The sequence below is a fragment of the Homo sapiens genome, chromosome 20 (genome assembly GCF_000001405.40).
Source record: "Homo sapiens chromosome 20, GRCh38.p14 Primary Assembly".
NCBI lineage: Eukaryota > Metazoa > Chordata > Mammalia > Primates > Hominidae > Homo > Homo sapiens.
Window position 1 is genome coordinate 175,007 of NC_000020.11, and position 15,674 is coordinate 190,680.

Sequence of the window (15,674 nt, forward strand, 5' to 3'; positions counted from 1 at the left end):
TAAGTAAATTATCTGCTTCCCTGACTGTTCCTGGACTACAGCCACACCTCATTGCTGCCCTTTTCCCCAGTTCAAAGCCTCCTTCGCATCCTCCTCTCATATCCCCCCACCTTACCCACAAGTATAAGATACCTCTACTCCCTCCTTGGTGACTGATCATGCACCCCTTACCATCCCATTAAAACCTAATCACCCTTACCCCATTCAATGCCAATATCCCATCCCACAGCACGCTTTAAAAAGATTAAAGCCTGTTATCACTTGCCTGTTACAGCATGGCCTTTTAAAGCCTATAAACTCTCCTTACAATTCCCCCATTTTACCTGTCCTAAAACCGGACAAGGCTTACAGGTTAGTTCAGGATCTGCACCTTATCCACCAAATTATTTTGCCTATCCACCCCGTGGTGCCAAACCCATATACTCTCCTATCCTCAATACCTCCCTCCACAACCCATTATTCTGTTCTGGATCTCAAACATGCTTTCTTTACTATTCCTTTGCACCCTACATCCCAGCCTCTCTTCGCTTTCACTTGGACTGACCCTGACACCCATTAGGCTCAGCAAATTACCTGGGCTGTACTGCCGCAAGCCTTCACAGACAGCCCCCATTACTTCAGTCAAGCCCAAATTTCATCCTCATCTGTTACCCATCTCGGCATAATTCTCATAAAAACACAGGTGCTCTCCCTGCTGATCGTGTCCGACTAATCTCCCAAACCCCAATCCCTTCTACAAAACAACAACTCCCTTCCTTCTAGGCATGGTTAGTGCAGTCAGAATTCTTACACAAGAGCCAGGAACATGCCCTGTAGCCTTTCTGTCCAAACAACTTGACCTTACTCTTTTAGCCTGGCTCTCATGTCTGCGTGCAGCGGCTGCCGCCGCCCTAATACTTTTAGAGGCCCTCAAAATCACAAACTATGCTCAACTCACTCTCTACAGTTCTCATAACTTCCAAAATCTATTTTCTTCCTCATACCTGACACATATACTTTCTGCTCCCCAGCTCCTTCAGCTGTACTCACTCTTTTTTGAGTCTCCCACAATTACCCTTGTTCCTGGCTCAGACTTCAATCCGGCCTCCCACGTTATTCTGGATACCACACCTGACCCTCATGACTGTATCTCTCTGATCCACCTGACGTACACCGCATTTCCCCCATTATTTCCCTCTTCCCTGTTCCTCACCCTGATCACATTTAGTTTATTGATGGCAGTTCCACTAGGCCTAATCGCTACACACCAGCAAAGGCAGGCTATGCTATAGTACAAGCCACCAGCCCACCTCTTAGAACCTCTCATTTCCTTTCCATCATGGAAATCTGTCCTCAAGGAAATAACTTCTCAGTGTTCCATCTGCTATTCTACTACTCCTCAGGGATTATTCAGGCCCCCTCCCTTCCCTACACATCAAGCTCAGGGATTTTCCCCTGCCCAGGACTGGCAACTCTTAACTCCCTCTTAGAGTGGATAGATGCTCTTTGCTGGCAGGGGACCCTCCAATCTTTTCACCCTGATGAAGTTCTATTCTTTACTTTTATACTCACTCTTATTCTCATTCCCATTCTTATGCCACCCTCTACCTCTCCCCAGCTATCTCCACCACACTATCAACCTTACCCATTCTCTCCTAGCCGTTTCTAATCCCTCCTTAGTGAACAACCGCTGGCTTTGCATTTCCCTTTCTTCCAGCACCTACACAGTTGTCCCCACCTTACATGCAGACTAGGCAACATCTCCTATCTCCTTACACCTCCAAACTTCCTTTAACAGCCCTCACCTTTACCCTCCTGAAGAACTCATTTACTTTCTAGACAGGTCCAGCAACACCTCCTGAGACATCTCACATCAGCAAGCTGCCGCCCTCCTCCGCACTTAATTAAAAAACCTTTCTCCTTATATCAACTCTACTCCCCCAATATTTGGACCTCTCACAACACAAACTACTATTCCTGTGGCCGCTCCTTTATGTATCTCTCGGCAAAGACCCACTGGAATTCCCCTAGGTAACCTTTCACCTTCTCGATGTTCCTTTATTCTTCATCTCCAAAGCCCAACTACACACATCACTGAAACAATAGGAGCCTTCCAGCTACATATTACAGACAAGCCCTCTATCAATACTGGCAAACTTAAAAACATTAGCTGTAATTATTGCTTAGGAAGACACTTACCCTGTATTTCACTCCATCTTTGGCTGCCTTCCCCTTGCTCATCAGACTCTCCTCCCAGGCCCTCTTCTTGTTTACTTATACCCAGCCCTGTAAATAACAGTGAAAGTTTGCTTGTAGACACTTGACGTTTTCTCATACACCATGAAAATCAAACCTCCCCCTCTATGCAGTTACCCCATCAGTCCCCATTACAACCTCTGATGGCTGCCACCCCAGCTGGATCCCTAAGAGTCTAGGTACAAGACACTCCTTTCAGCATTCCTTCTCATCTTTTTACTTTGCATCTCCGGTTTTGCCTCACACAAGGTCTCTTCTTCCTCTGTGGATCCTCTACCTACATGTGTCTACCTGCTAATTGGACAGGCACATGCACACTAGTTTTCCTTACTCCCAAAATTCAATTTGCAAATGGGACCGAAGAGCTCCCTGTTCCCCTCACGACACTGACACGACAAAAAAGAGTTATTCCACTAATTCCCTTGCTTGTCGGTTTAGGACTTTCTGCCTCCACTATTGCTCTCAGTACTAGAATAGCAGGCATTTCAACCTCTGTCACGACCTTCCATAGCCTGTCTAATGACTTCTCTGCTAGCACCACAGACATATCACAAACTTTATCAGTCCTCCAGGCCCAAGTTGACTCTTTAGCTGCAGTTGTCCTCCAAAACCACCGAGGCCTTGACTTACTCACTGCTGAAAAAGGAGGACTCTGTATATTCTTAAATGAAGAGTGTTGTTTTTATGTAAATCAATCTGGCCTGGTATATGACAACATAAAAAAACTCAAGAATAGAGCCCAAAAACTTGCCAGCCAAGCAAGTAATTACACTGAACCCCCTTGGGCACTCTCTAATTAGACGTCCTGGGTCCTCCCAATTCTTAGTCCTTTAATACCTATTTTTCTCCTTCTTTTATTCAGACCTTGTATCTTCCATTTAGTTTCTCAGTTCATCCAAAACCGTATCCAGGCCCTCACCAATCATTCTATACGACAAATGTTTCTTCTAACAACCCCACAATATCACCCCTTACCACAAAATCTTCCTTCAGCTCAATCTCTCCCACTCTAGGTTCCATGACCCAATCCTGCTCAAAGCAGCCCTGAGAAACATCACCCATTATCTCTCCATGCCAGCCCCCCACCAAAAATATTTTTTTCGCTGCCCCAACACTTCAATACTATTTTATGTTATTTTTCTTATTAATATAAGAAGGCAGGAATGTCAGACCTCTGAGCCGAAGCTAAACCATCGCATCCCCTGTGACCTGCATGTATATGCCCAGATGGCCTGAAGTAACTGAAGAATCACCAAAGAAGTGAAAGTGGCCTGTTAATGCCTTAACTGATGACATTCCACCACAAAAGAAGTGAAAATGGCTGGTCCTTGCCTTAACTGATGACATTACCTTGTGAAATCCTTTCTCCTGGCTCATCCTGGCTCAAAAAGCTCCCCCACTGAGCACCTTGTGACCCCCACTCCTGCCTGCCAGAGAACAACTCCCCTTTGACTGTAATTTTCCTTTACCTACCCAAATCTTATAAAATGGCCCCACCCCTATCTCCCTTCACTGACTCTCTTTTCGGACTCAGCCCGCCTGCACCCAGGTGAAATAGCCTTGTTGCTCACACAAAGCCTGTTTGGTGGTCTCTTCACATGGATGTGAGTGAAATTAATATTAGGTACACACAGACATAAAGATGGGAAAAATAGACAGTGAAGATTTTAAAGGGGATAAGGAAGGGAGAGGAGCAAATGTTGAAAAACTATCTATTCTGTACTATGTTTGCTACTTGGGTGACAGGGTCATTAGAAGCCCAAACCTCAGCATCACACAATAAGCCCATGTAACAAATCTGTACATTTATCCCCTGAATCTAGATTTTAAAATAAGGCTGGGTGTGGTGGCTCACACCTGTAATCCAAACACTTTGGGAGGCTGAGGCAGGAGGATTGCTTGAGCCCAGGAGTTCAAGACCAGCCTGGGCAACATAGACCTTGTCTCTACAAAAAATAAACAAAATCAGCAAAATGTGGAGGTGCGCCTGTAGTCCCAGCTGCTCAGGAGACTGAGGCAGGAAGATTACTTGAGCCCAGGAGCTCAAGGTTGCAGTGAGCTGAGATCGTGCCACTGTACTCCAGCCTAGGCTACCAAGTGAGATTTTGTCTCAAAGAAAATAAGATAAAATTTTTTCTTACATTGTGATATATATGCACAATGGAATTTTCAAATATATAGTATATTATCACTAACTGTAGCCACCATGATGTAAATAGAGCTCTTGAATTTTTTTTTTCTTCTTTTGAAAACAGAGTTTTGCTCTTGTTGCTCTGGCCAGAGTCCAATGGTGCGATCTTGGCTCATTGCAACCTCTGCCTCCCCAGTTCAAGTGATTCTCCTGTCTCAGCCTCCCAAGTAGCTGGGATTACAGGCACATGCCACCACGCCTGGCTAATTTTTGCATTTTTAGTCAAGGCGGGGTTTCACCATGTTGGCCAGACTGGTCCCAAACTCCTGACCTCAGGTGATCTGCCTGCCTCAGTGTCCCAAAGTGCTAGGATTATAAGCATGAGCCACCGTGCCTGAACTCTCTTGAGCTTATTTTTCCTGTCTAAGTGATTTCCCCACCCCTAGCCTCTGATAACTACCATTTTACTCTTTGTTTCTATGAATTCAACTTTTTTACACTCTACATAGAAGTGAGATCATGTCTTTCTGTGCCTGGTTTATTTCATTTAGCTTACTGTCCTCCAGGTTCATCCATGTTGTTGCAAATGACAGAATTTACTTCTTTTTTAAAGCTGAAAAGTATTCCATTGTGATTATGTACCACCATTTTCTTTATTAATTCATCTATTAATGGGCACTTAAGTTGATTCCATGCCTTGGTTATTGTGAATAATGCTGAAATTAACATGAAAGTGCAGATATCTTTTCAACATGCTGATTTTATTTCCATTAGCTATATACCCAGTAATGGGATTGCTGGATCATATAGTAGTTTTCATTTTAATTTTTTAAGGAACTTCCATACAGTTTTCCATAATAGCTATACTAATTTTTATTCCCACCAACAGTGTGCAAGGGTTCCCATTTCTCCACATCCTTTCCAACACTTATTCTCTTTCATAGTATATTTTGAAGTCAGGTAGTGTGATGCCTTCAGCTTTGTTCTTTTTGCTCAAGATTGTTTTGGCTATTCAAAATCTTTTGTGGTTCAATCCAAATTTTAAGATTTTTTTCTGTTTCAGTAAAAAATGTCTTTGGAATTTTGATAGGGATTGCATTAAATCTATAGACCACTTTGGGTACTACAGATATTTTAACAATATTAATTTTTTACTTTCATGAACATGGGATATCTTTCCATCTGTGTCTTCTTCAATTTCTTCCATCAAAGTTTTATACATTTTAGTGTAGAGGCCTTTTACCTCTTTGTTAAATTTATTCCTAAGTATTTTTGTAGCTATTGTAAAAGGATCATTTACTTGATTCACTTCTCAGGTGTTCTTGTTAGTATTCAGAAAAGCTGCTGATTTTTGTATGTTGAATTTATATCCTGCCACTTTACTGAATTCATTTATTAGTTCTAATAGTTATTTGGCAAAGTCTTCAGGATTTTCTGTATATACGATTATGTCATCTGCAAAAAGAAACAATTTCACTTCTTCCTTCCCATTTTAATGCTCTTTTTATTGCATTTTCTTGCCTAATTAATCTGGCTAGAATTTCCAGTACTACATTGATAGAAGTGGCAAAAGTGGGCATTATTTTGTTCTTTATCTTAAAGAAAAAGCTTTTGACTGTTCACCATTGAGTATGATGTTAAATGGGGCTTGTCATATATGATCTTTATTGTGTTGAGATCATTCTTTCTGTATCTAATTTGTTGAGTTTTATCACAAAAGGACGCTGAATGTTGTCAAGTGTTTTTTCTGCATCTGTTGAGATGATCATATGGTTTTTACCCATCACTCTGTTAATGTAGATAAATCTCACTTGATCATGGTGAATAATCCATTTAAAGTATTGTTGAATTCAATTTGCTAGTATTTTCTTGAGGTTTTTGTATCTCTGTTCTAGGGACATCGACCTATAACTTTTTTTTCTTGTATGCCCTTGCTCTGGCTTTATTATAAGGGTACTGCTACCCCAGCATGATTTCCAAATGGCTATGAACCAGTGACTGCTGTGTACAACCAACTTTTCCTCCTTTCAAATGGGAGTGTTGTGGTTATAACATTATAAAACAAATCTTGCAAAGTTAGATAGAAGGCATCAGTTCTAGTGTTTGATAGCACAGCAGAGTGGCTATTGTTAACAACAATTTATTGTATATTTCAAAATAGCTAAAAGAGAAGTTTTGAAATGTTCCCAACACAAAGAAAGGACAAATGTCCAAGGTGCTGGATATCCTAAATAATCTGACTTGATTATTACACATTATATGCATGTATCAAAATATCACATGTGCCCAGAAATATGTACAAATACTATGTATCAATAAAAAAGTTTTTAAAAAATAAATATTACATATAATATATGAATTATATAATAAAACTAGAATATAATATAAAAAGGAAAAAATATATGTAAAATAAATCTTCATAATAAAATAAAATAAAATAATTTGAAAGAGTCTATGAATAAGATTTTGGAGACTACTCTAAGACAGATGCAAGAGCAGGTACCAATAATTCTGTCTGTACCAAAAGAGTGAATAATAAAAATATACAATTTCAACTTAATTTTGCATAAAAAAAAGTGAACAAATAAACATGCATCTAACAATACTGACCACATCCACGTCTTCTATGAGTATGGAGGGGATAAAAGAATAAAAGAAAAAAGTCAAAGCGAAGATTAGATCCCCCCAGTCAGAGCAGAATTCAAGGGTTAATTTATCTGTTCAATTAAGTATATCCCTCACCCCCAACTCAGAAGACACTTCTCTGATTTATCTGACACTAAGCCAAAATGGATTCTCTTATCTAATTTATCAGTAGAATCATATAGAGTAGAGGACACATGTAGATTAAAGACAGTGAGCCAGACCCATCTTCACTGTCACAGTGACAGAATGGACCCTCCTTTAAAATACCCCTGGTGACATTGTAATGAAAGACTAAAAAAGAAAGGGGCTTATAAAGTGCTGCAGTGAAAAAAAGGGCTTCTTATGTGAGCCTTACTTTTAAAGTTCCCTAAGAATTAGGTTGAAAAAGGTCATACATTGACTTTCATAGTGCTGAAATCATCAACAAAAATTTCTAAAATTCTGCAAAGTCCAGTCACTGTTACCTGTGCACTTCTCCAGAATTTTCAAAAGCCAAACTACTAAAAGGAAGGTTCTTGTATGCTCTTGAAACTTTAATATATCCAGCTAAATATTTTTCTCCTTCCTCCCCCTGAAACAAGGTGGTGAGCTGCTCATGGAGTAATAAGGTTCATTGATTTCTTTATCTCACATGAGTAAATATTAGCTCTACAAAAGTTATTTATGACCAGTGCCTTAAATTAAGCAGCATCAACAAATGTCACCACAAAATTTCTCTTCTGTTCATCTGGACAGCATTTTCTACCATCATGACCTACTACAATTTCATCTATCTCATGAGGAGCTTCTTAAGTACGTCCCCCTCATTTATAAGACTTTAAATTTCATACTGAAACAAATGATATGCAATGCTTTTAGAGATCTTAAGATAATCTTTGTCTAAAAATTCTGTCAACTAGATGTTCAAATTGCTACTGAAAATGGAGATGGAACACATACATTAAATGATTCAAATGATATATCGGAATTACCAGTAGCTGTCATGTTTGCCCATCAGATCTGCCCTCAAAAAAGTGTTATGAAAATATTCAAACATTTTTTCTCCCTCTAACTAATTCCTAGCTGTTAGCAGAACCCTCTGTACACACACACACACACACACGGCATTCAGATCTAATTAGACAAAAGAAATTTCATTTGTGAAACAGGAGAAATACCTGAAATTCTGTGAAATATTGTCTCGCATAGAAAATGGAGTTGTTACAAGCCAGGAGAGATTGGGTGCCTATTTTCAACCTTCTTAAAGACAAGAAATTCCAACCAAGAATTTCATATCCTGTCAAATTAAGATTAATAAATGAAAGAGAAATAAAATCTTTTCCAGACACTCCAGTACTAAGAGAAATCCTTATTATTAAAGGCAGTCTTACAAGAGACCCTTCAGGGAGTTCTAAATATGGAAACAAAGGAACGATATTTGCATTTACAAAAACATACTTAAGTACGTGGCCCACAGACCCTAATAAGCAACCACACAATAGAAACTACAAAGCAACCAGCTAACAACTCCATGATAGGATCAAAACCTCACATATTAACATTAACCTTGAATATGAACACTCTAAATGCTCCACTTAAGAGGCACAGAGTAGCAAGTTGGAAAAGAAAAGAAAAGAAAAGAAAAGAAAACTCATCTGTCTGCAGTCTTCAAGAGACCAATATCACATATATGACACCCATAGGCTCAAAGTAAATGGTTGGAGAAAGATCTACCACATAAACAAAAAACAGAAAAAGAGGAGGGGTCATTATTCTTAGATAAAACAAACTTTAAACCAACAACTACTTAGAAAGATAAAAAAGGGCATTACGTGACAATAAAGGGTTAAATTCAATAAGAAGACTTAACTATCCTAAATATATATGCACCCAATATTGGAGCATCTAGATTCATTAAAAAAACTACTTCTAGACCTATGAAAAGACTTAGCCACATGATTATATTGGGGGACTTCAACACCCCACTGACAGCATTAGATAGATGATTGAGGCAGAAAACTAACAAAGAAATCCTGGACTTAAACTTGACACTTGACCAATTCAACTTAATAGACATCTACAGAATATTCCATCCATCAACCACAGAATATATATTCTTCACATCTGCACATGGAACAGACTCCAAGATTGACCACATGCTAGGCCATGGAATAACTATCAACAAATTCAAAATACCAAAATAATGCCAACCAAACTCTCAGACCACACTGGAAAAAAATAGAAATCAATACCAAGAACCTTCAAAACCACACAATTACATGAAAATTAAACAACTTGCTCCTAAACCACTTTTGGATAAACAACAAAATGAAGGCAGAAATTTAAAAATTCATTGAAATAAATGAAAACAGAGACATAGCATACCAAAATATCTGGGATGCAGTGAAAACAGTGTTAGAAAGAAAGTTTATAGCACTAAACACTGACCTTGAAAAGCTAGAAAGATCTCAAATTAATGATATTACGTCACACCTACAGGAACTAGAAAAACAGAAACAAACTAACCACCAAGCTAGCAGAAGAAAAAAAATAACTAAAATCAGTGTAGAACTGAATGAAATTGAGGCTCAAAAATCCATACAAAGACACAGTGACATTACAAGTTTGTTTTTTTAAGGGATAAACGAGATCAATAGACCACTATTTTTTGTTAGTAGATTAACAAAAGAAGTGAGAAGATCCAAATAAGCACAAATAGAAACAACAAAAGTGACATTACAACAGATCCCACAGAAATATGAAAGAGACTATTATGAGCACCTCTATGCACACAAACTAGAAAATCTAGAGGAAGTGGATAAATTCCTGGAAACATACAATCTCCCAAGATTAAACCAGAAAGAAACTGAAACCCTGAACAGACCAATAACAGGTTCCAAAATTGAGTCATCAATTAAAAACCTATTAACTAAAAAAGGCCCTGAACCAGATGGATTCACAGCCCAATTTTACTAGACATACCAATTCTACTAAAACTATTTCAAAAAAGCAAGAAGAAAGATACCTCCCTAACTCATTCTACAAAGTAGGCATCACCCTGGTACCAAAACCTGGCAAAGACACAACAAAAAAAGAAAACTACAGGCCAATATCCCTGATGAAAAAAATGCAGAAATCCTTAAGAAATACTAGCAAACTGAATCAAAGAATACTAAAAAAAGACAGTTAATTCGCCATGAGCAAACAGACCTCCCTCTTGGGATGCAAGGTTGGTTCAACATATGCAAATGAACAAGTGTGATTCACCATATAAACAGAATTAAAAACAAAAACCATATGATCATCTCAATAAATGCAGCAAACCTTTTGATAAACCCAACATCCCTTCATTTAAAAACCCCTCAACAAACTAGGCATCGTAGGAGCATACTCAAAAATAATAAGAGCCCCTATGACAAACCCACAGCCAGCATCATGCTGAATGGGCAAAAACTGAAAGCATTTCCCTTGAGAACTGGGAATGCTTTCTGGAACATTCCAGTTTTCTGGAACATTCCCAGGAATGCCCACTCTCACCACTCAGATTCAGCCTATTACTGGAAGTGCTTGCCAGAGCAATCAGGCAAGAGGAAGAAATAAAAGGCATCCAAATAGGAAAAGAAGAAGTCAAGCTATCTTTCTTCATTGACAGCAGATTATATGCCTAGAAAACCTTAAAGCCTCCACCAAAAGACTCCTGGAACTGATAAACGACTTCAGTAAAGTGTCAGGATACAAAAGTCAAAGTATAAAAATTAACAGCATTTCTATACACCAATAATGTTCAAGCTGAGAGTCAAATCAAGAATGCAATCCCATTTTCAATAACCACACACTCAAAAAAAAAGCCTAGGATTTTTTTCTAACTAAGAAGGTGAAAGATCTCTTCAGATTCAGGGAGAATTATAAAACATTGCTTTAAAAAATTATAGATGTCACAAGCAAATGGAAAAACATTCCATGCCCATGGGTTGGAAAAATCAATATCATTTCAACAGTCATTCTGCCCAAAGCAATCTACAGATTCAATGTTATTCCTATCAAACTACCAAAGCCATTTTTCACAGAATTAGAAACAACTATCCTGAGTTCTTATGGAGCCAAAAAAAGAGCCTGAATAGGCAAAACAATTCTAAGCAAAAAGAACAAAGCCAGAGGCATCTAATTACCCATCTCAAACTACACGATAAGGTTACAGTAACTGAAACAGCATAATACTGATACAAAAACAGACATATAGACCACTGGAACAGAATAAAGAATCCAAAAATAAAGCTGCATGCCTACAGCCATCTGATCTTTGACAAAGTCAACAAAAATACGCAATGGGAAAAGGGCTCCTTATTCAATAAATGGTGCTGGGATAGCTGGCAAGCCACATATAGAAGAATAAAACTGGACCCCTCCTCTCACCATATAAAAAATTAACTCAAGCTGGATTAAAGATAGAAATGTAAGAACTCAAATTACAAGAATCCTAGAAGACAACCTAGAAACACCATTCTGGACATAGGTCTTGGGAAATAATTTATGACTAAGTCCTCAAATCAATTGCAACAAAAACAAAAATTGACAAGTGGGACCTAGTTAAACTAAAGAGCTTCTGCACAGCAAAAGAAACTATCAACAGAGTAAAAAGACAACATACAATGGTAGAAAATATCACAAACTATGCCTCTGACAAAGGTCTAATATCAAGCATCTATAAGGAACTTAATTCAACAAGCAAAAAGAAAATAGCCCCATTAAAAAGTGCGCACAAGACATGAACAGACACCTCTAAAAAGAACACGTACAAGTGGGCAACAAATATATGAAAAAATGTTCAGCATCACTGAACACCAGAGCAATGCAAATCAAAATCACAATGAGATAACCTCTTTACACCACTTAGAGTAGCTATTACTAAAAAATCAAAAAACAACAGATGCTGGCAAGGCCGCAGAGAAAAGGGAATGCTTATACACTGTTAGTGGAAATGTAAATTTGTTCAGCCACTATGGAAAGATGTTTGGAGACTTCTCAAAGAACTTAAAACATAATTACCATTCAACTCAGCAATCCCATTACTGGGTATATATCCAAAAGAAAATAAATTGTTCTACCAAAAAGATGTATGCACGTGTATGTTGATCGCAGCACTATTCATAATAGCAAAGACATGGAATCAACCTAGGTTCCCATCAACAGTGGATTGGATAAAGAAAACGTGGTACATATACACAATGGAATACCATGCTGCCATAAAAAAATAAAATTACCTCTTTTGCAGCAACATGGATGCAGCTGGAGGCCATTATCCTAAGCGAATTAACACAGGAATAGGAAACCTAATACCATATGTTCTCACTAATAAGTGGGAGCTAAACATTGGGTACACATTGACATAACGATGGGAACAATAGACACTGGGGACTAATAGAAGAGGGAAGGAGGAGAGGAGAAAGGGTTGAAAAACTAACTGTTGGGTACTATATTCAGGACCTGAGTGATGGGATCAGTTGTACCCCAAACCTCAACAACACACAGTACACCAATGTAACAAATCTGCACATGTACCCCTGAGGCTAAAATAAAAGTTGAAATTATTTTCTTAAAAATGGAAAGGCTAAATTCCACCTCTACCAATATGTTTACTTAATTTTTATATCCCCCATCTTACTGGTATAAAACCAGGAACATGGCAACCATTCATTTATGTTTGAAGTGTTCAAAAAATGAGTGACTACATCAATAAATGTACTCAGAGGAAAGCACAGGACTTTATTATGTGGGGAATCAAGTTCACAGAAGGAAGCAGATGAATCTTTTGCTGCAGGCTGCTGGATTAGGCAGCACTTTTTATTTAGGAAGAGTGGAGACCAGCGAGACAAGGGCTAGATTTAGGATTAGACTGTGAAAATGGTGATGGTGGGTAAGATGATGTAATCCTGCAGCACACTCAGCTTCTCACCAGAATGTTGATGTGGCTTCTTAAATGACACATGTTTTTTCTCTTCTTCATCATTAGCACAACATAATTTCCCACTTAGACATCCTATTTCATATCTTTCTCCTACCTTGCATTTCTTCCTGCAATAGCCTGTTACTTTATTGAAGCATTTTTTGAGTCTTGCCCCGTCTGTGCATAGGAAACAACATTGAACCAAGGTTAGTGCGTAAGGAAGAGCAGAAGAGGTAGGTATGTGGTTCCCCACAAGTCATGGCCTCCTATGGTCCCAAGTGAACATTATGCTGATAAAAGGAAACTCAGAGGCCCCTCCTTGAAAAATATCCCAAATTAAGGACATTCAAAAGCCCAGGCTCTCAGCCAATGTCCAGTTGCCTCTGAGAACATTAGAACTGATATGACAAAAGAGAAGAGAGAACTCAATTCCTGGTTATCAACCAGAGCCAAGTCCCACCCCTAGGACCATGGCAAAGCTGACTCTCTCCACCAAGCTCCAAAGTCAGCACTCTCTCAGCTCCATCTCAGTCTCATGTCCCCAGAGACGGCTAACATGTCACCATGTGCACAAGACATGTCACCATTGGCACAACTCAGCCAAAGCAACTTTTGAAAGAACATCACAAACAAGACTTTTTAACTTAATTCGGTTTCACACTCACTGATATGGGCAACAGAAATCTCCCTTTGACAAGATCTCATGGGTCTCAGCAACAGGTGCTATTGAGAACTCCTTCCCTTAACCTGGCTCCTCCTGTCTGTCACTCATCACACTCCCCTTGATCTCAGATAAATGTGTTGCCCAGGGATCAAATTCAATTCCATGAATTTGGCTCTAGAGAGCTACATTGTCACCTTCTCAGAGTAATGCACTGAAATTCTAAGTCTCTTGTTTCTAATCCTTATTTGCCCCTCTACCCAAAATTTGAACAAGCCCAAAGAATAAGGTTGGAGAAGAGAGACATACTCTCCCTATCCTAAACTTCAGAATCAGGGAACATCTTTGAGGGTTAGAGGAGTATATTTTGGGGCCATAAAAATACAATATGCCTTCTTCCTAGCAAGAGAGAAGGTAACTCTCACTGACAGGGCTTCTACGATGAACTTTGTGCTTCGTGCTTGTAAGTTCATGTAACCTGTACATCAAATAGAATCATGAAATATAGTAATTATACTCCTTCACAGATGAGAAAATTGAGATTAAAAGGAAATAATGTGCTTAATTCATACAACCCGTCAATGATGAAGACATATTTTAACCTCACATTGACATGACTCCAAAATGTGTGCTATTTTAATTACTGTTGTAGTACAGGCTGAAAATGAATTTGAATGGAAAAGGGAATGGCCAGGCTCTCAGGTGAAAACTGTGTCCAGCATTATAAAGATAATTCTAGATGATGAGTTCATGGATACTTTTGAAAAGGACTCCTGAGAGTCCACTATAGCCCTGACCTCCTCTTACCTCCTTGGGTGCCTCTCTTCTAAGGCATAGACTCAAGTCAGGCAACCAGGAGAATGGGTACTTTTTTATGATTTTGGCCAAATATAAATAATCTTGAAAGTCCTGTTCCCACTCTTACAAATAGTAATATCTCTTAGGATGTTATAGTACATTTGGACAAGTTACCTGTGAGTACCTCAAACAGCAGAATAATGAGAACCAGAAACAGCTTCATATTTACAGACTTCCCAAGAGAAAGAGGCAGCAGAACTTTGTCCAGTGGTCTGTGTGCCACAGGTCTTTAAAGATGATCCAGAGTTTTGAGAGCTATCAGCGCTCGGAGCTCTCATTTTAACCCACACAGACAGAGAGGAATTCCAAGTCCACCCCCGTAACACACACACCTACATCCCCAAATATGGAGCTCACAGTCCCAGAATGTTCCACCATATCATCCCTCCTCCCCCTTCCTCAGGATATGCGCCCCTAGAGAGCAGGAACTATGACTTTCCGTCTGAGCTTCCAACCCATTTGGGTCAAGGTTGGTTGGTCGTGGGCCTTGGGTTGTGTGGGATAATCCTGTCTTATTCCTATTGTTCCAATGTTCCATCCGGCTACTGCTGCCTCTAACAAAACTAACCCAGTTTGGAAGATAAATTAAGTCATTAGTCGACACAGAAGCATATTCAACAATAATTTTTTTAATGTATAAAGCTTCCAGATAGTCATTCTAGGAGTAAGATTGCTTTTAGGTTTGGCTAGATAAATTGATATTATTTGAGAGTTTCCCATAAAGACTTGTCCATCTAGTAGAGCAAAATTCAACAACTGAAAGTTTTCAAAAGATCAAATCTCCTTAGCACAGCACTCAACTTATTATAAACTGGTCTCTGCTCTCCTCTCTTGGGACATTTTATGGAACCATCTATGTTTCTCCCAAACTAGTGGGTACACCTTCCTGAACTTTTACTTCCTTAATCTGTTTCTTTTCACATTTAAATCCCTCCTTACAGATTATATTACACTCCCCATCCCCTCCATATAATTGGTGCTAGTGAACTCCTGGTTTTCCTTCAAAACCAAGTTCAATCATCTCTATATAAGTGAAAGTTTCCCTGACCCAACTAAACAGAGCTGCAAACTCTCTTCTTCGCACCATCACTGTATTTGTACATATTTTTGTTGATGGTCACACTATGTCATGTTCCAATTATTTGTTTATCTGCAATAGTCTGCAGACCCATAAAGGGCAGGTCTCTGGTCTTATTAGACTTGGAGTTCTTTTTCTTTTT

General features: G+C 38.9%; 1 protein-coding gene across 1 annotated transcript; it reads right to left on the reverse strand.

Moving 5' to 3' along the window:
- Positions 1-12,846: 12,846 nt before the first annotated feature.
- DEFB128 (defensin beta 128) lies at positions 12,847-14,705 on the reverse strand. Its single transcript, NM_001037732.3, has 2 exons — positions 14,569-14,705; positions 12,847-13,112 (listed from the first exon to the last, which is right to left on the reverse strand). Exons 1-2 carry the CDS (start codon positions 14,615-14,617, stop codon positions 12,880-12,882), a joined length of 282 nt encoding a protein of 93 aa, NP_001032821.1. The 5' UTR covers positions 14,618-14,705; the 3' UTR covers positions 12,847-12,879.
- Positions 14,706-15,674: the final 969 nt, after the last annotated feature.

Excerpts from the sequence above, each read along its gene's own strand:
- DEFB128 (NM_001037732.3), bottom strand. The coding sequence starts at position 14,617 with ATGAAGCTGTTTCTGGTTCTCATTATTCTGCTGTTTGAGGTACTCACA. Across the intron at positions 13,113-14,568 it reads GCTGTTTGAGGTACTCACAG|ACGGGGCAAGACTCAAAAAA; the intron begins GTAACTTGTCCA and ends TCCTATGCACAG.